The 19,269-nt window shown below is 52.9% G+C and overlaps 1 protein-coding gene across 6 annotated transcripts in view, besides 1 other annotated feature; it reads left to right on the top strand.

Moving 5' to 3' along the window:
- Positions 1-19,269, top strand: part of NXN (nucleoredoxin) — a 180,467-nt gene that overhangs the window by 150,434 nt on the left and 10,764 nt on the right. For all 6 annotated transcript variants that reach the window (XM_005256756.5, NM_022463.5, XM_005256758.4 and 3 more), the window contains exons 2-5: positions 3,265-3,382; positions 5,578-5,711; positions 6,886-6,986; positions 9,798-9,904. In XM_005256756.5, coding sequence (XP_005256813.1) covers positions 3,265-3,382; positions 5,578-5,711; positions 6,886-6,986; positions 9,798-9,904 — 460 coding nt within the window. The remainder of the gene's footprint in view (positions 1-3,264; positions 3,383-5,577; positions 5,712-6,885; positions 6,987-9,797; positions 9,905-19,269) is intronic.
- Positions 5,739-5,908: an enhancer, noted in NCBI's record as "active region_11442". NCBI's record gives its function as "activates an Ori minimal core promoter by ATAC-STARR-seq in GM12878 lymphoblastoid cells {active_cell/tissue: GM12878}" and the evidence as "EXISTENCE:reporter gene assay evidence [ECO:0000049][PMID:35858748]".

Here is a 19,269-nt window from a genome sequence, read left to right as displayed (position 1 = left end):
TCTCTACTAAAAATAGAAAAATTAGCCGGCAAGGTGGTGCATGCCTGTAATCCCAGCTACTCGGGAGGCTGAGGCAGAGAATTCGTTGAACCCGGGAGGCAGAGGTTGCAGTGAGCCAAGATCGTGCCACTGTACTCCAGCCTGGGCAACAGAGCGAGACTCTGTTTGCCCCACCACCCCGCCCCCCTAAAAAAAAAAAAAAGGATAAGCAACAAAAATGACTTGTCATTTTTTCCCCCTAGCGAACTGGAAAAATGAATGACAGTGATAATGTTGGTGAAGGTTGGGAAATGGGCTCTCTCATTTGCCACTGGTGGAAAAATATAAAACGGTCTGAGCTTTCCTGAGCGGTGAGTCATGGGTAATTTTCAATCCCAATTTGTGTGGTTTTGCTGTTTCCCGACTTTTTTCCAGTGATTTTTTTTCTCCAAGAATTCCTTTTTAAACCAGAAAAATTCAATCATTTTAATCTTCCTTTTCTAAAAAAAATTAACCTGACTCAGTCCTTGTACAGCAAACTTATGAAGCTGATCCCCGTGGCAGGATGGTCTTGTTCTGTTGTTGAACCTCTTAAGGATGTTTAATCTGAATTCTGTACCAAGTTTCTCTGGAATGATGCCATCGTGGAATTTAAAAACTGGGGCCGGGTGCGGTGGCCCACGCCTGTAATCTCAGCACTGTGGGAGGCCGAGGCGGGTGGATCACCTGAGGTCAGGAGTTCCAGACCAGCCTGGCCAATGTGGCGAAACCCTATCTCTACTGAAAATAGAAAAATTAGCTGGACGTGGAGGTGGGTGCCTGTAATCCCAGCTACTCGGGAGGCTGAGGCAAGAGAATCGCTTGAACCCTAGAGGTGGAGGTTGCAGTGAGCCTAGATCACACCATTGCACTCTAGCCTGGGTGACAGAGTAAGACTCCATTAAAAAAAAAAAAAAAAAAGGCCAGGCACGGTGGCTCACACCTGTAATCCCAGCACTTTGTGAGGCCGAGGTGGGTGGATCACCTGAGGTCAGGAGTTCGAGACCAGCCTGGCCAACATGGTGAAACCCCGTCTCTACTAAAAATATAAAAACTAGCCGGGTGTGGTAGGGGGCACCTGTAATCCCAGCTACTTGGGAGGCTGAGGCAGGGGAATTGTTTGAACCTGAGAGGTGGAGGTTGCAGTGAGCCAAGATCGTGCCACTGCACTCCAGCCTGGGTGACAGAGCGAGATTCTGTTTAAAAAAAACCAAAAAACAAAAAAAACTGGATGTGCAGGATTGTTCTTGTTGTGAGGTCCCGGGCTGGTTTTGTAAGCCCCCCGGAAAGGTGGGGCTGGGAAAAACATGCAGATTGAAAGCAGGGCCCACCCAGATTGAAGTGGGGTCCCACAGCCCTTCCTGCCAAGATACAGGTCTCCACAGACAGGGAAGCCCAGCATTGTGTGGCAGATCCCCTGCCCTGCCCCTCACCGCTTCGGATGGAACTCGGGACAATCCTCATCCCACCACCAATGCCCTCTTCCCTCTGCTGCTGCCCTTCTCATGCCTGCTTGGCTGCCACACATCCTTGCCCTGTTCTGCCCAAGGGCGTAGCCTTCCTGCCGGGACCCTCAAGCCCCCAGCAGGGAGGCTCAGAGCCGAACGGCCTAAACAGTGGGGCACTCTGCAGCTTCCCTGCTTCTGTCTTTTCTGGAGGAACACAGCCCAACAATGCATTTATTTTATTTATTTATTTTTTTGAGACGGAGTCTCACTCTGTCACCCAGGCTGGAGTGCAGTGGTGTGATCCTGGCTCACCGCAAGCCCCGCCTCCCGGGTTCACGCCATTCTCCTGCCTCAGCCTCCCGAGTAGCTGGGACTACAGGCGCCCGCCACCACGCCCGGCTAATTTTTTGTAATTTTTAGTAGAGAAGGGGTTTCACCGTGTTAGCCAGGATGGTCTCGATCTCCTGGCCTCGTGATCCACCCGCCTCAGCCTCCCAAAGTGCTGGGATTACAGGTGTGAGCCACCGCACCCGGCCACGTCCAGCTAATTTTTTGTATTTTTAGTAGAGACGGGGTTTCACCGTGTTGGCCAGGATGGTCTCGATCTCCTGACCTCATGATCCACCCACCTCGGCCTCCCAAAGTGCTGGGATTACAGATGTGAGCCACCACGCCCAGCTAATTTTTGTATTTTAAGTAGAGACGGGGTTCCACCATGTTGCCCAGGCTGGTCTTGAACTCCTGACCTCAGGTGATCCTCCCAAAGCGCTGGGATCACAGGTGTGAGCCACCGTGCCCGGCCCCGACATTGCATTTAATTATGTGGCTTTTTGGGCTTGGCGGGGAGGTTCGAGAGCACCCAGTCACCTGCCCATATGGCGTTCACCCCGACGGCAGTGAACGAACACAGGAGGCTTCACCCCGATGGCGAACAGAGGCCGCCCACGCTTGGCTTCCAGCCCTGGGCTTTGCATTGACATTTTGTCAGCTTTATTCCTCTTAGACCCTGGACCTCTGACCGTGTGCACAGCCAACCTCAAGAATCTGACAGTAGACTGAAGCGTGTTTTACGCGGCACCGAGAGCCGAGGGTTGGGGCTGGCCCTGGGCATTGCTTCCCTGGTGCTTTGTGGGCTGAACGTAACGACGACTGTGATATTTCAAGTGCAGGGACCTGGTGAAGGGCTGAGGGACCTGGTGAAGGGCTGAGGGGGCAGATGTTAACTCCGTGGCCTTCTGTCAGAAAACCCGTCTCTTCTCCCTTGAGGGGAAGGGGCCGTGGAGAGCGGCTGCTGTTGCCTGCTGCCAGGGTGGCGAGGCTCTCGTGAAAACCTTCCCTTCCTTCCTTAACCACCTGGTGGTCTGATTGTGTTCTGAAGATGTGGAATCCATCTTCATCTTTGTGATTTTTAGAGACGTGGAAGGGTAGTACTCTCCAGGATGAGTGTGGTCCTCCATCAGCCTCCGCCTCTGAGTCCCCTATGCTGTTGCAGACTATGGGGGCCAGTGGGGTCATCAGCCTCCACCTCCAAGTCCCCCACACTGTCGCAGACCCCGGGGGGCAGTGGGACCATCACCTCCCTCCTCGGAGCCCCCCGCACTGTCACAGACCCCGGGGGGCAGTGGGATTGTAGTTAACGTGCCCCTTTGCCCAGCAGCCCTGCTTGGCATCCATTATTCTTTTCTGTGTGCTTGAATGCTTGCCTGTTCATCCAGCCTCCAGACCTAAGGGGCTCAAAAGAACTCTGCAATGAATCTGGTTTGGACTTAACCACCTTCTTTTGCTTTTCTTCATACAGCTCAAACTTTGGAACAAATACCGAATTTCCAACATTCCATCACTAATATTCCTCGACGCCACCACTGGGAAGGTTGTGTGCAGGAACGGGCTGCTGGTGATCCGAGATGACCCAGAAGGTAAAACCTCAGCCCGTGCATATGGTCCTCTTATTACCCAGCCCTCCCTCCTCCATGCCCTTAGGCTAATCTCCGTCCCACCGGTGGAGAGAGTACTGGTGAAATAGATACACGTGGGTTTACGTGGTAGAGAATGTCGTCTTGGTGAAATCATAGTATTCCCTAGGACATGGTTTTAAGATTTTCACAGGGATCAGAATGTCCCTCCTAGGGGCTTTAATTCATGGGCCAAAAGAGATGGACTCTGCCGTAAGAAGCTCCGCTTGGAGGGCCGCAGAGGCTGTGGGAAAGCGGAGAGCTCAGACCCCGGCCTCTAGTGCTGCATCCGTGGCGGCTGCCCCCTTCACAGTTAGAGGCAGGCTGAGTGGGGTTTTTCCTCTTTAAAACATTACATAGCGAAGTCCCAGCCCCCGTGTCACTCTCCTGGCCTTGGCGGTGAGTGCACCTCGTTGCTTGGAGCTGTCACTCCCTGCGGGCCTTGGTCTTGCTGGCTACGCGTGGGCTGTGCTCCTCCAGCCGCCCCGCTCAGGGCCGTCCGCGTGGCGTCTTTCCCTCTGGCAGTGAGTGAGAACAGGGCTGTGAGATCTCCTCCCCTCACTTAATCCGTCCAGTGAGAAGATTCAACCCCGCTCACACATTTTCCCAGTAAAAATGCCACCTACTTCAAAGAATTGTCCTCAGTAAAAACCACGGCATGGTGGAACCAAGCGTGAAGCTTTTCTTTTTTTTTTTTTTTTTTCTCTTGAGACACTATCTCCCTCTGTCGCCCAGGCCGAGTGCTGTGGCATGATCCCGGTTCACTGCAGCCTCGACCTCCTGAGCTCAACTCATCCTCCCGTGTAGCTGGGACTACTGGCGTGCACCGCCACACCCAGCTAATTTTTTATTATTTGTAGAGACGGGGTCTCCCTAGGCTTGCCCAGGCTGGTCTCAAAACTTTTGAGCTCAAGCAATCCGCCCACCTCGGCCTCCCAAAGTGCTGGGATCGTGGGGCTGAGCCGCAGAGCCTGGTCCCCGTGTGGATCCCGAGCCCGACCTCCAGAGCATTGTGGATCCCTCTTGTTTCCGGGGAGGCCCGACCACCTGCATTTTCAACCAGCCTGTGCTCCTCCTTCCCAGCCCCCAAGCGACTTTGAGGCAGCAGGTCCTTGGACCACCCTGTGAGAAAACGTGGTTCAGTTGAGCGGGAAGCGTATTCTCAACTCCCCCTACCTGGAGCTTAGGTGTCATCAGAACATGGACCATCTGGGCTGGGTGGGTTTTACTCTTTTCTTTTATTAGACTTAAATTCTCACTTGGCTCCCTGAGCCCATCAAGAGCAATAGAATCAGAATCTCTGGGCGTGGGGCCCAGGAGCGTGGTATTTTAAACTCCCCAGCTGATTCCAAGTACAGTCAGAGCTGACAGCCGCTGGGATGTGACGGCCGGGATGTGAATCCACAATCCCGGGTATCGGGTTGATTCCCGAGGCCCCGAGGCGATGATTCCCAAACCGAGTCCCTCGTCAGTTCTGGGGAGCCTGTTTCATTTTGCACGTACATCTTTGCGTTGCCCCTGGGTCTCCAGCCTCAGGATGTGGCCTGGGCGTTTGTACTTTTCAAAAGCCCCTGGAAGGGCCAGGTGCGGTGGCTCACGCCTGTAATTCCAGCACTTTGGGAGGCTGAGGCGGGTGGATCACGAGGTCAGGAGATCGAGGCCATCCTGGCTAACACGGTGAAACCCCATCTCTACTAAAAATAAATAGAAAAAAAACATTAGCCGGGCCTGGTGGCGGGCACCTGTAGTCCCAGCTACTTGGGAGGCTGAGGCCGGGGAATGGCGTGAACCCGGGAGGCGGAGCTTGCAGTGAGCTGAGATTGCGCCACTGCACTCCAGCCGGGGCGACAGAGTGAGACTCTACCTCAAAAAAAAAAAAAAAAAAAAATGTCCCTGGAAGACAGACCTTGTGACCCATCCAGGTTTGGGAACCGTTGCCAGGAGGGCAGGGAATGGCTCTAGTTTGATTCCTGTGTTAGCTGCAGACGCTGTAGGTGTGTTGACAAGTACTGTTTGATGATTATCTTGTCACGCCTGCCGCTCTGAGGTCTCCCGGGTCCCAGGTCATCAAGAAGAGTCTTAACCGCTCTGAAGTCTCCTGGGTCCCAGGTCATCAAGAAGGGTCTAAGCCCTCTTTTACCATCTGTTTTCTGTTTCAGGTCTGGAGTTCCCCTGGGGACCGAAACCCTTCAGGGAAGTCATTGCAGGGCCCTTGCTTAGAAACAATGGGCAGTCTCTGGAGAGCAGCAGCCTGGAGGGGTCTCACGTGGGCGTCTATTTCTCCGCACATTGGGTGAGTGTTTGGACCCCCTTTGGCTCAGACAGAAGGAAGCAGTGATGTTCCCAGCAGGCCCAGCTGTGGTTGGCTTCTGGGGGTGAGACACCCAGGCAGGAATTTCCCGGCCTTCTGGCCTTCTCCTGTGCCCGAGGCCTGGTTGAATAGTGCTTATGATTATGAATGAAAAAAGCAGCAAGAAATGACTTCTTTGACTGATCTATAACGATAGCCCTCTTTTTTTTTTTTCTGAGCCAGAGTCTCGCTCTGTTACCCAGGCTGGAGTGCAGTGGCGCGATCTCAGTTCACTGCAACCTTTGCCTCCTGGGTTCAAGTGATTCTCCTGCCTCAGCCTCCAGAGTAGCTGGGATTACAGGTGCATGCCACCACGCCTGACTAATTTTTGTATTTTTAATAGAGACAGGGTTTTGCCATGTTGGCCAGGCTGGTCTCGAACTCCTGACCTCAGGTGATCTGCCCGCCTCGGCCTCCCAAAGTGCTGGGATTACAAGCATGAACCATCGTGCCTGGCCCCCTTTTTTTTTTTTTTGAGACAGAGTCTTGCTCTGTCGCCTAGGCTGGAGTGCAGTGGCACAATCTCAACTCACCGCACCCTCTGTCTCCCGGGTTCAAGTGATTCTTCGGCCTCAGCTTTTGAAGTAGCTGGGGCTCCAGGCGCACACTACCAAACCCGGCTAATTTTTGTATTTTTAGTAGAGATGGGGTTTCTCCATGTTGGTCAGGCTGGTCTTGAACTCCTGAACTCAGGTGATGCACCCACCTTGGCCTCCCAAAGTGCTGGGGTGACAGGCGTGAGCCACTGCACCCAGCCTGGATATTTCTCTCAATCCATGTGGATGAGTTCATGCTACCTGCTCACACACTGCATAGGGACAATGCGGGTGCTTGTGCCAGATGCCCACCATTAAGAGAGGCAAGTTTATTTTTGCCTCATGCAGGAGGCTAGGTCTTGCTGTGTTGCCCAGGCTGGCCTCAAACTCCTGGGCTCAAGCGATCTTCTGACCTCAGCCTCCCAGGTAGCCACCATACCCATCTCATTTCCACCCCTTTCATGAACGGGATTTTGCTGTCCCAGTCCTGCTTGAGTCCTGCTAACCCGGCCTTGGATGGTGAGTGGCTGGGAGGTGGAGAAGCAGCGTGACGCAGCGGGTCTTGCTGTCCTGTCTTTCAGTGTCCGCCCTGCCGAAGCCTCACCCGGGTCCTGGTGGAATCCTACCGGAAGATCAAGGAGGCAGGCCAGAACTTCGAGATCATCTTCGTTAGTGCAGACAGGTCAGTCGTGCCGTGAAGTGCTGGGCCCCTTTTCTGTAGGTAGCTGACATCCATTTTTTTTCTTTTCTTTTTTTTCTGAGACAGAGTCTTGCTCTTGTCTCCCAGGCTGGAGTGCAGTGGTGTGATCTCAGCTCACTGCAACCTCCACCTCCTGGGTTCAAGCGATTCTCCTGCCTTAGCCTCCTGAGTAGCTGGAATTACAGGTGCCCGCCACCATGCCCGGCTAATTTTTGTATTTTTAGTGGAGATGGGGTTTCACCATGTTGGCCAGGCTGGTCTCAAACTCCTGACCTCATGAGGCGCCCACCTTGGCCTTCCAGAGTGCTGGGATTACAGGTGTGAGCCACCGCACCCAGCCACATTTACTCCTTTAATCGTCTGAAGGGGAGCTGAGGAAAACCTCTTCTTGCTGTAAATACTGGGGGATGTCCCAATTCAGGCCTGGATTGTTTGAGATTAGGACGTATTTTCTGATTTGCTCAGCTTTTTAGATTGTGGTGAAGAGACAGGGAAGGGGGAGGAAGGGGGAGGATGGAAAAGAGCCAGAGACGAATGTAATCAGACACCTGTCTTGGATGGCTGTTTTTTGTTTTTTGGGTTTTTTTTGAGACGGAGTCTCGCTCTGTCGCCCAGGCTGGGGTGCAGTGGTGCGATCTTGGCTCACTGCAAGCTCCACCTCCCGGGTTCACGCCATTCTCCTGCCTCAGCCTCTCGAATAGCTGGGACTACAGGCGCCCACCAGCATGCCTGGCTAATTTTTTGTATTAGCCATGGGGTTTCACCATGTTAGCCAGGATGGTCTCGATCTCCTGACCCCGTGATCCTCCTGCCTTGGCCTCCCAAAATGCTGGGATTACAGGCATGAGCCACCGCGCCCGGCCGGATGGCTGTTATCTCAGCTCTGGCCCTTTGCTGTGTCTGGTGCTATTTGAATGTACACGGATACACGCGGATAAGGAATCACAAAACAGGCATTCTTCCCGGAGTCAGTCAGCTCCTCTGAGCCTCAGTTTCCTCTGCTTATTGCCCTCTCTAAGGCCTCACTTATCAGTGAATTTCCTTCACCTCAAAACTCCCGCCCCAGTTTAGACTGAGTCACCAGTGGCCTCTGCCGCTTATGTTCCTGTTCCCAAAAGGATCCGAGATGCCGGCACACACAGGGCACTTTGTACATTGTTGTATCTGCGGTGTCCACACCATCCTGGGCTTGGCTTATTGGCCCGCAGTCCTGCTCTGCCATGCCACAGCTCCCGCCTCTGCCGTGCCACAGCTCCCGTCTCTGCCATGCCACAGCTCCCCGTCTCTGCCGTGCCGCAGCTCCCCGTCTCTGCCATGCCACAGCTCCCGTCTCTGCCATGCCACAGCTCCCGTCTCAGCGTGAAGCCGTGCCAGGTGCAGCAGTCAGTTTTTTTTTTTGTTTTTTTTTTTTTTTTTAGGTGGAGTCTCGCTCTGTTGCCTAGGCTAGAGTGCAGTGGTGCGATCTTAGCTCATTGCAACCTCCACCTTCTGGGTTCAAGTGATCCTCCCACCTCAGCCTCCTGAGTAGCTGGGACTACAGGCGCCGGCCACCACACCCGGCTAATTTTTGTATTTTTAGTAGAGATGCGGTTTTTCCATGTTGCCCAGGCTGGTCTGGAACTCTAGGGCTTAAGTAATCCACCCACCTTGGCCTCTCAAAGTGATGGGATTACAGGTGTGAGCCACCATGTCTGGCCACAATCACTTTTTTTTTTTTTTTTTTTTTTGAGACAGAGTCTCGCTCTGTCGCCCGGGCTGGAGTGCAGTGGCACGATCTCGGCTCACTGCAAGCTCCGCCTCCTGGGTTCACGTCATTCTCCTGCCTCAGCCTCCCAAGTAGCTGGGACTACAGGCGCCCACCACCATGCCCAGCTAATTTTTTTGTATTTTTAGTAGAGATGGGGTTTCACCGTGTTAGCCAGGACGGTCTCGATCTCTTGACCTCATGATTCACCTGCCTTGGCCTCCCAAAGTGCTGGGATTACAGGGGTGAGCCACCACGCCTGGCCACAGTCCCTTTTTTAAAGTTTTAAGCATCAACTTTATTGAGGCATAATGTATATATTGTAAAATGCATGCATTTAAGGTACACAGTTCAGCTGACCAATGTACGTACCATGTTACCACCATCATCACAGACAAGGCACGGAACAAAGGTACACAGTTCAGCTGACTGATGTACGTACCACGTAACCACCATCATCACAGACAAGACACGGAACATTTTCATCACTCCGTAGGTTCCTTGGGTCGGTCTCCGCTCATAAACCCCAGCCCCACATGGGTCTGTCTCTACCTATAAACCCAGCCCTGGGATCCCCTGATCCGCTTCTGCCGCTTGAGTAGGTGTGCCTTTCCTAGGGTTTTTTACATGGGGAATCATAGGTATATGGTTGGTTTAAATTTGAGGTCCCATATGAGTCACTGTTCCGTGCACAAATTAGAACTCCCGCGGGTATGCAGTGGCTGTGCACATCTGAGCTCTGAGGCAAGAAAGACCTGTCTGTGCTGAGAAATGGAAAGTTGGACCTGAGTTGCGTTGCCTGGATGGGAGCTGCTGAAGTGGGCTGGCGTCTTAGCCGGCACCCACCTGCTGTGTGGAGGCATTTGCTTCTTGGTGGACACCAGCCGGGGTAGAATAACACACTCCCATAGCCTGTTGCCTAAGGAGCACAGTGGTTAGAAACCCCGGCTTCTGCAGAATCCCTGGGCAGAACTCGGCAGAGGTGGGAGGATTCAGCGTTGGTGCAGTGGGGATACTGAGCCTTGCCCGCCACGTGTGTCTCTCTGTAGGTCGGAGGAGTCCTTCAAACAGTACTTCAGTGAGATGCCCTGGCTCGCCGTCCCCTACACGGATGAGGCCCGGCGGTCGCGCCTCAACCGGCTGTACGGAATCCAAGGTAGGCGCTCCAGGCCCCGGCTCCGTGTGGCTCCTGGAAACCTGCTCACCTGAGCTCACCGTGTCTTTGGCTTTCCTTTAAGAAGAAGAGCATCATTATTTCCATGAATATTCATGTGCCTTTCATGTTTCTCAGCAGTGTAGAATTTTCATGGTGTGAATTCTAAGCCATTTTTAAAAAATAAGTATTGTCAGGCCGGGCATGGCAGCTCACACTGTAACCCCAGCACTTTGGGAGGCTGAGGCAGGTGGATCACCTGAGCTCAGGAGTTCGAGACCAGTTTGGACAACACGGTGAAACCCGGTCTCTACTAAAAATACAAAAATTAGCTGGGCGTGGTGGCGGGTGCCTGTAGTACCAGCTACTCAGGAGGCTGAGGCAGGGGAATTGCTTGAACCCAGGAGGCAGAGGTTGCAGTGAGCCGAGATTGTGCTATTGCACTCCAACCTGGGCAACAGAGGGAGACTCTGTCTCAAAAAATACTACTACTAAATACTGTCTTAGTAAGACAGCTACTTCTCACTGTCCAGCATGGTGCATTTCTTTTTTTTTTTGAGACGGAGTCTCACTCTGTTGCCCAGGCTGGAGTGCAGTGGTGCGATCTCCGCTCACTGCAAGCTCCGCCTCCCGGGTTCACGCCATTCTCCTGCCTCAGCCTCCCCAGTAGCTGGGACTACAGGCGCCCACCACACGCCCGGCTAAATTTTTTGTATTTTTAGTAGAGATGGGGTTTCACCATGTTGGCCAGGATGGTCTCGATCTCTTGACCTCGTGATCTGCCCGCCTCGACCTCCCAAAGTGCTGGGATGACAGGCGTGAGCCACTGCACCCGGCCCATGGTGGATTCTAATATGATTGGGACACGGAGCACAGCCTCCCAAATGACTTGGCCAGAATCTTATCCCAAAGGTTTACTGTGAAAGAGACTTGAGAGTGATCTCCAGTTTCATCACTCAGAGTCTTTGGGCCTCAGTTTCCTTGTCTGCAAAGTGGGGTGGTAAAGCTTTGCCACAGAGAATTGTTGGGAGCATGAATAAGTAAAGTATGTAAAGAGGCGTGATAGTGAGGGCTGAGTGGGTATCACCTTCTCGGTGAGAAAATCAATTTCCTGAGAGTGTTGTAAACTAGGACTTAGAGTACTAATCATGGTGTTTTTCAGAAATTATATATATATTTTTAAGTCAGGGTCTCACCGTGTCGCCCAGGCTGGAGTGCAGTGGCGTGATCTCGGCTCACCACAACCTCTGCCTCCAGGGCTCAAGCCATCCTCTCACCTCAGCCTCCCGAGTAGCTGGGACTACAGGTGCACACCACCACTCCCTGCTCATTTTTTTGTATTTTTAGTAGAGATGAAGTTTTGCCATGTTGCCCAGGCTGGTCTCGAACTCATGGGCTCAAGTGATCCACCCGCCTCGGCCTCCCAAAGTGCTGGGATGACAGGCGTGAGCCACTGCACCCAGCCGGAAATAATGATTGTTAATGAGACTGAATGTATTTTTATTCTTTATCGTGTGAATACCTCCTTCCCAGCCTTCACCCAGCCAGGTTTTTCTCTTCACAAAGCAGGTAACTGGGCAGTCTGAGTTAAACGCGTTCTCTTTGTATCATTAGTGGCAGATGCTTGTCAGCTGTAAACAGATACAGCTAATAATTGAGTTCTCAGCACTCCTAGGGTTACAGAGAGTGAAAAAAAAGACAAATCCAGATTTACCCAGAAGTTCTGCGCCTGAGGGGCATCTCATCAGGCTCTTTTTTTTTTTTTTTTTTCCTGAATTGGAGTCTTGCTCTGTCGCCCTGGCTGGAGTGCAGTGGCGCAATCTTGGTTCACTGCAAGCTCCGCCTCCCGGGTTCACGCCATTCTCCTGCCTCAGCCTCCCCAGTAGCTGGGACCACAGGCACCCACCACACGCCCGGCTAAATTTTTTGTATTTTTAGTAGAGATGGGGTTTCACCATGTTGGCCAGGATGGTCTCGATCTCTTGACCTTGTGATCCGCCCACCTCGGCCTCCCAAAGTGCTGGGATTACAGGCGTGAGCCACCACGTCTGGCCTCATTAGGCTCTTTGACCTTTTTTCTTCACCATTTAGAATACATATATGGGTTTGTTTGGAGCAGAAGTTTTAAAAAAAATAATATTTAATTTTAGATTGGTGCTTCTCAATCCCAAGTACATATGAGAATCACCTGGAGATCTGAAAATGGAGATTTGGATTTGGTGGGGCTAAGCGGGAGCTGAGAGACTGTTTCTGAGCAGCCTCCAGGCAGTGCTGATGTTGCCAGCCCATGGACCACACTTGGAGTATTAATAGTCTAGATCCATTCGTTAATCCTAGGGGAATTTGGGGTGTGTCGGGGGGTGCTGCTGCCTCCTGTTAACAGCATAAATGAAAGCGTTTGCTTTCCAAACAAAAGTTGAGGGACATGATGTTGCCTAGTGGACCAGAAGAAAAGGCCCCAAGTTGGAGATGCCAAGGAGGTCAGCGCTTACTCCTGCCTGGCCCTCTGCAGAGACACTTAAGGTGCCCGTGCCTGGGGGTAGGAGCTGTGTTTGTTGAGATAAGTTTCGGGATGCCCCTACGCCAGTGGTCCTGAATAGCTGGCTGAATTACCACTGTGTGGGGGTCAGGAGGGCTTCCCATCTCTTAATTCATTTATTCGTTCATTGCTGAGTGAATGTCTTTACTGAGGGCTGACTGGATGCCATTGCATTCTGCCTGGGATTGGAGTCACAGACTTGAATAAAACAGATACAGGTCCTGCCCTTTGCAGAGCGTATAGGTCTAGAGCGGAGACTCACCCTAATCGTGCAGATGGATGTCAGTTGAACTGTGAGTGCTTTGAATGCGAAGCCGCCAGTGCTGGGGTAGGGAGATTTGGCCTCGTCGGGGAGACCAGAGAAGACCAAGGATGCCCCAGGGGATCTGGAAACCAAGTAGGAACGGACCAAGCAGATGGTGGAGGGAAGGTCCCGGCAGACGGAACCGCACGTGCAGAGGCCCGGCCGACACGTTTTCTTGCAGAAGGATCTTGGCTGCAACGTCACAGGATAGACCTGGCCTGGTCCTCACAGGGCACTCTCCTTAGAGACCATGACAGGGACAGTGAAGGTCTGGGGGGCTGTAAGCATTTTGCACTTTAAAAAAATACATGGGTTGTACTTTGTCCTTCTAATCCATGGGATTCAGGTCTTCGTCCCCAGAACGACTCTGTGTTAATTAAAAGCGACGTGACTGCCTGATTGTAACTGGACAGTGGGAAGGGGTTTCGGCCTCAGCTTCCAGTTGCAACCAGAGGCCCTTGGAGGGGCTACAGGTGAGATGCTAGTCAGCTACGTAGGGCCCAGGTCTCTCCCAAGCGTTACCGAGCGCCGTGTCCTGCCCCTCCTGATGGCTGTGGATTTTCCATCCTTTCTCCATACAGAGATATCCTGGGTTTCTTCTAATCCCTGTTCCCCTTATACACCAGGAGGTGATGGTCTCTGATGTGTGTCTTCCTCCGACTCCCCTAACAAAGGCCCGCCGGTCACATTCAGGCCCCTCTTATCCTCCCTACTGGCCTCTGTGTGTGCACGTGTGTGCACAGGTGTGTACAAAGTGTGACTCTGTTTGACGTGGCTGGGTCTTGGAGCACCCCTCACACATGATCCGGAGGCACGTTAAACGTTCAGGCCAAGAAGAACGTTTTTATCTTGAATAAAACAGATAACAGGCCCTGCGCTTTGCAGAGCTTAGGGATCTAGAGTGGACACTGGCCCTCATTGTACGGATGGATGTCAGCTGAACTGTGGGTGCCTCATCGCCTTCAAAACCTACAGAGCTTAGGGATCTAGAGTGGACACTCGCCCTCATCATACGGATGGAAGTCAGCTGAACTGTGAGTGCCTCATCGCCTTCAAAACCTACAGAGCTTAGGGATCTAGAGTGGACACTCGCCCTCATCATACGGATGGAAGTCAGCTGAACTGTGAGTGCCTCATCGCCTTCAAAACCTACAGAGCTTAGGGATCTAGAGTGGACACTCGCCCTCATCGTACGGATGGGTGTCAGCTGAACTGTGAGTGCCTCGTCGCCTTCAAAACCTACAGAGCTTAGGGATCTAGAGTGGACACTCGCCCTCATCATACAGATGGAAGTCAGCTGAACTGTGGGTGCCTTGTCGCCTTCAAAACCTACAGAGCTTAGGGATCTAGAGTGGACACTGGCCCTCATCATATGGATGGATGTCAGCTGAACTGTGAGTGCCTCATCGCCTTCAAAACCTACCGGGTGGCAGGCTTTTGTTTTTATCTTTTGTATACTTTGAATTTCATTATGAACCACAATTATTTTCTTTGCTTTAGCACCTAGAAGACTCAGCTGAATTTGTAACTACTGCCTAGGCATGGTGGCTCACGCCTGTAATCCCTGGACTTTGGGAGGCCGAGGTGGGTGGATCACCTGAGGTCAGGAGTTCGAGATCAGCCTGGCCAACATGGCGAAACCCCATCTCTACTAAAAATACAAAAATTAGCCAGGCGTGGTGGTGGTCACCTATAATCCCAGCTACTCGGGAGGCTGAGGCAGGAGAATCACTTGAACCTGGGAGGCGGAGGTTGTAGTGAGCCGAGATCACACCACTGCACTCCAGCCTGGGTGACAAGAGTGAAATTCCTCCCTAAGTGCTGGGATTACAGGCGTGAGCCACTGCGCCCGGCCGGATTTGATGTATTGAGTGCGTGCTAACCATCCCATACTCTCCGTACTGAGCTCCACGGGAAGTCACTAGGAGAGGGGCCCAGTGCTGCCCTTGAGTGGACAGGATGAGATGGACAGTTGGGCATATCTGAGGAGCGGAGTGTGATGACGTCTTCACGAACACGACAGTGTTGGTCCGAGTACGTGTCATTTCGTACGAGGGCCTGGAAGACGGACACTTGTCACTTAGAGTGGAGCTGCTGCCGCGCCCCCTCTCTGCTGCTCCATTGGGTCAGGAGGCCTTTCCACATAGAGGCATTTTCTTTCCCAGCACCTCATCATCCGTGGAGCAGAATCTTCCTCTCTGAGGTACGGAGTTCCTTCCTGGATGTGAGGGCCCGTGGGTTGCCGGTATTGCTGGTGGCCAACGCTCAGGCCAGGGGGTCACCTGAAACTAATAAGGTACCCTAGGACAGCCTTTTTTCTTTTTTTCTTTTCTTTTTTTTGAGACAGAGTCTCACTCTATCACCCAGGCTGGAGTGCAGTGGCGCAATCTCTGCTCACTACATCTGCCTTCCGGGTTCACGCCGTTCTCCTGCGTCAGCCTCCGGAGTAGCTGGGATTATAGGCACCCACCACCACACCTGGCTAACTTTTTGTATTTTTAGTAGAGACAGGGTTTCACCATGTTGGCCAGCCTGGTCTTGAGCTCCTGACCTCATGTGATCTGCCTGCCTTGGCCTCCCAAAGTGCTGGGATTACAGGCATGAGTCACCGTGCCCGGCTCTTTTTTTTTTTAGACAGAGTCTTGCTCTGTTACCCAGAGGCTGGAGTACATTGGCACAATCTTGGCTCACTGCAACCTCTGCCTCCCGGGTTCAAGCGATCTTCCTGCCTCAGCCTCCTGAGTAGCTGGGATTATAGGCACCTGCCACTACGCCCAGCTAATTTTTGTATTTTTAGTAGAGACAGAGTTTCTCCATTTGACCAGGCTGGTCTCAAACTCCTGACCTCGTGATGTGCCCGCCTTGGCCTCCCAAAGTGCTGGGATTACAGGCGTGAGCCACCGCGCCCGGCCGGCCGTAGTCTCTTAAACAAAAAAAAAATGCTGAAGTTAAATACCAAATATGCATGCACTTCTTGACACACAGAAACGTCAGTGGCATGAGTTTGATTCATACTTCTAAACTTAATTCCAGATCCTCCTAGTTTTGAAAGATGCTCACGTATTAAGGAAATCATTATATCATTCCAGGGATATCACTTTGGAAGCGCCTTCTCAGCGCTTCGAGGTTGGGCTGAGCCCCACGTGCGGCATTCCGTCCGCGTCGATGGCCCTATTTGTGGTGCCCTGTCCTTGTCCTCCAAGCCGGGGGCCGTTTCTCCTTCAGAGCCCGTCTCACTCAGTCCCTGGTTTCACTGGTATCAGTTCTGGCTTCTCTCTAGTCTTAGAAGCCAGCCACCCTCCCTAGACTGCACCATCCCTTGATGGGAGTTTGCCTTTCTTTGCCTCTGAGGATATTTAAATGTGGCCAGGCTGGGCCGAAATACCTCTGAAGGAACTGTGCATTCGTTCATAAGCTTTGTAGCGTCACAAAACTCTGACCAGTATTTTTGATTGAATTCTGAATATTTCTGAGCTTTTGTGTGATTCCGTGGTTACGGCTTCCAGTGTCATTCAGTGGACGTGTTCCAGGTGTGTGAACACACGCACACACACGCTCACACATTCACACACGCGTGCACACAACCTACACACATGCAAACACCTACATTCACATGTGCACACACACCTACAAACATGCACACCTACACTCACACATATGCACACTCACACACGCACACACCTACAGTCACACATGCACACACCTACATTCACATGTGCGCACACACCCACACACACCTACACACATGCACACACCTACACTCACACATGCACACTCGCACACACACCTACACTCACGCACACACACCTACACACATGCACACACCTACACTCACACATATGCACACTCTCACTCACGCACCCTACACTCACACACCCTACACTCACATGCAAACACCTACATTCATATGTGCACACACCTACACTCACACACACCTACAGTCACACACATGCACACTCACACACACCTACACTCACCTACACTCACACAATGCACACTCGCGCCATCACACACACGTGCACACACAGACTCACACACACACTCGCTCTGCAGGGTCCTGGCTGTTGGAGTGTCTGGTCTGCACATCCTGTGGGGCTTCTCTGGGGACGTCCTGCTCCCTGTTTGAGTCTGTCTGTGCCCTGGGGTCTCAGTCCCATCTCACTTGTTTCTCTCCCGCTGAAGAGCTTGTATAAAGATTCCTTCACAGAGCAGTGCCAGGTACACCCCCTGCCTGCACCCAAAGGGAGCCGCCTCCACCTGGCCTGTCTTTGGACTTACACTGGGGCAGTGGCTTGATCTGCTGGTCATTTTGTGGATTGAGTCATGTGAGGGCAGAGTGTTCTGACAGGCTCGGGTGAAAATGGGTAACCCAGGCCACGCGCAGTGGCTCACGCCTGTAATCCCAGCACTTTGGGAGGCCGAGGCGGGCGGATCACGAGGTCAGGAGATCGAGACCGTCCTGGCTAACACGGTGAAACCCCGTCTCTATTAAAAATACAAAAAATTAGCCAGGCGTGGTGACGGGCGCCTGTAGTCCCAGCTACTCGGGAGGCTGAGGCAGGAGAATGGCGTGAACCCGGGAGACGGAGCTTGCAGTGAGCCGAGATCTTGCCACTGCACTCCAGCCTGGGCGACAGAGCGAGACTCCGTCTCAAAAAAAAAAAAAAAAAAAAAAAAAGCAGAACTGGGTAACCGCACAACCCGGAGTCCTATAAGCATCTTGGGGTTTTGAGAATCACCCTGCCGAGTGAAGGGGGCCTGCCAAATGCTGCCAGTGCGTTGAGGTGTCTGGGGGGCGGTACGGGTGGGGGAGTCGGGGCCTCGAGGCTGTGCCCTTGAGCTGTCCATCTCACAGGGTGGCGGCCTCTGCCGTGGTCTTGATGATGAGTTTGGGCCCCAGGCCGGCCTGGCCAAAGTCCCACTGCCGCTGACAGGCTGGCCACCGGCTTCCTTCGGTGCCCTGGGCTGAGCCGGGCTGTGTGACCCATCTCCACAGGACCACTGGGCTCACCAAGGACCTGGCATTTGGCGTCCCCCCACCTCCTGGTCTCGTGGGAATAACTGGCTTCCAGAGTGCTGCCCCCCCCCCAACCCCGGGGCTTTACGCAGCCTGGGGAATGTGCAGCCGTGTGCAGTGCTGAAAATTCTTTTTCTAAGGAGACCGTTGTCAACACACCTGGCAGAAGACAGACCCCGTTAGCAGTTGTCTGAGTCATCCTCGGCTGCCAGGGAGCACGGCACTCTTTGCAGGGAGGTTTACAGCCCCTTCTCTCTTAGGCCAGGGGCCCTGTCTGGTTTGGCTCCCGTGGCCCAACCTTCAGGGAGGGCGGACGGCCTGAGGGCTGTGCAGGGCCTGGAGCAGATGCGGAAGCAGCTAGAGGTGCCGGGCGGCCGGGGTGAGGGCCCTTTGCTCCTCCAGCGTTGAATCCTCTTCTCTGTTTTCCTTCTTCCCTCCTGTGCCACCTCCTCCCGCTCTGCCTTCTCCGCCTCCTTCTTTCTTCCTCTTCTGCTTCCCTCCTTCCTCATCCCGTTCCCTTCCTTGACTCTCTTCCTTTGCCCCTTTCAAAAAAATGGATTTGAGGCAGAATCTGTTTATATAAAAATGAAACATTTGGAGATTGCATGTTTCAACCAGAAGAGGGGCTGCCTCGAGACCTTTAGAGCGGTTTTGCAGTTCTCTTTTATGTGTTTTGTCTAATTTTTTTTTTTTGAGGCAGAGTCTCGCTCTGTCGCCCAGGCTGGAGTGCAGTGGCAAGATCTCCGCTCACTGCAAGCTCTGCCTCCCGCGTTCAAGCGATTCTCCTGCTTCAGCCTCCTGAGTAGCTGGGAGTACAGGGGTGCGCTACCACGCCCAGCTAATTTTGTATTTTTAGTAGAGACGGGGTTTCACCATGTTGGTCAGGCTGGTCTCCACCTCCTGACCTCAGGGGATCCACCTGCCTCAGGCTTCCAAAGTGCCAGGATTACAGGTGTGAGCCACCGTGCCCGGCTCCTTTCCTTAACTCTCTAAGCAGGGGAGTGTTTTGGGGGAGCCGGGAGGAGGGAGGAACGGAAGGATCCGAGGAACAGATTCTGGGCATTGGTTGGTGTTTGTCATCCCATCTCACCCCCACGGCCTTTCAGTTCTGATTTTCATCTGATGTTAACGAGCTAAATAGGCTGCCGTTAAAGAAAACGTAACTAGACATAGATATCTCGCTGTCATCCCACCCACATTCCTGCCTCAGCAGCAACTCACACGGACTCTTAACGTACACGCCACTCACATGCACTCGTAACGTGCACACCACTCACAGACTCGTAACGTGCACGCCACTCACAGACTCGTAACGTGCACGCCACTCACAGACTCGTAACGTGCACGCCACTCACACGGACTCGTAACGTGCACGCCACTCACAGACTCGTAACATGCACGCCAGTCACAGACTCGTAACGTGCACGCCAGTCACAGACTCGTAACGTGCACGCCACTCACACGGACTCGTAACGTGCACGCCACTCACACGGACTCGTAACGTGCAC

The sequence above is a fragment of the Homo sapiens genome, chromosome 17 (genome assembly GCF_000001405.40).
Source record: "Homo sapiens chromosome 17, GRCh38.p14 Primary Assembly".
Classification (NCBI taxonomy): domain Eukaryota; kingdom Metazoa; phylum Chordata; class Mammalia; order Primates; family Hominidae; genus Homo; species Homo sapiens.
Note: the sequence above shows the minus strand (reverse complement) of the source record. Positions and strands in the feature narration are given on the sequence as shown.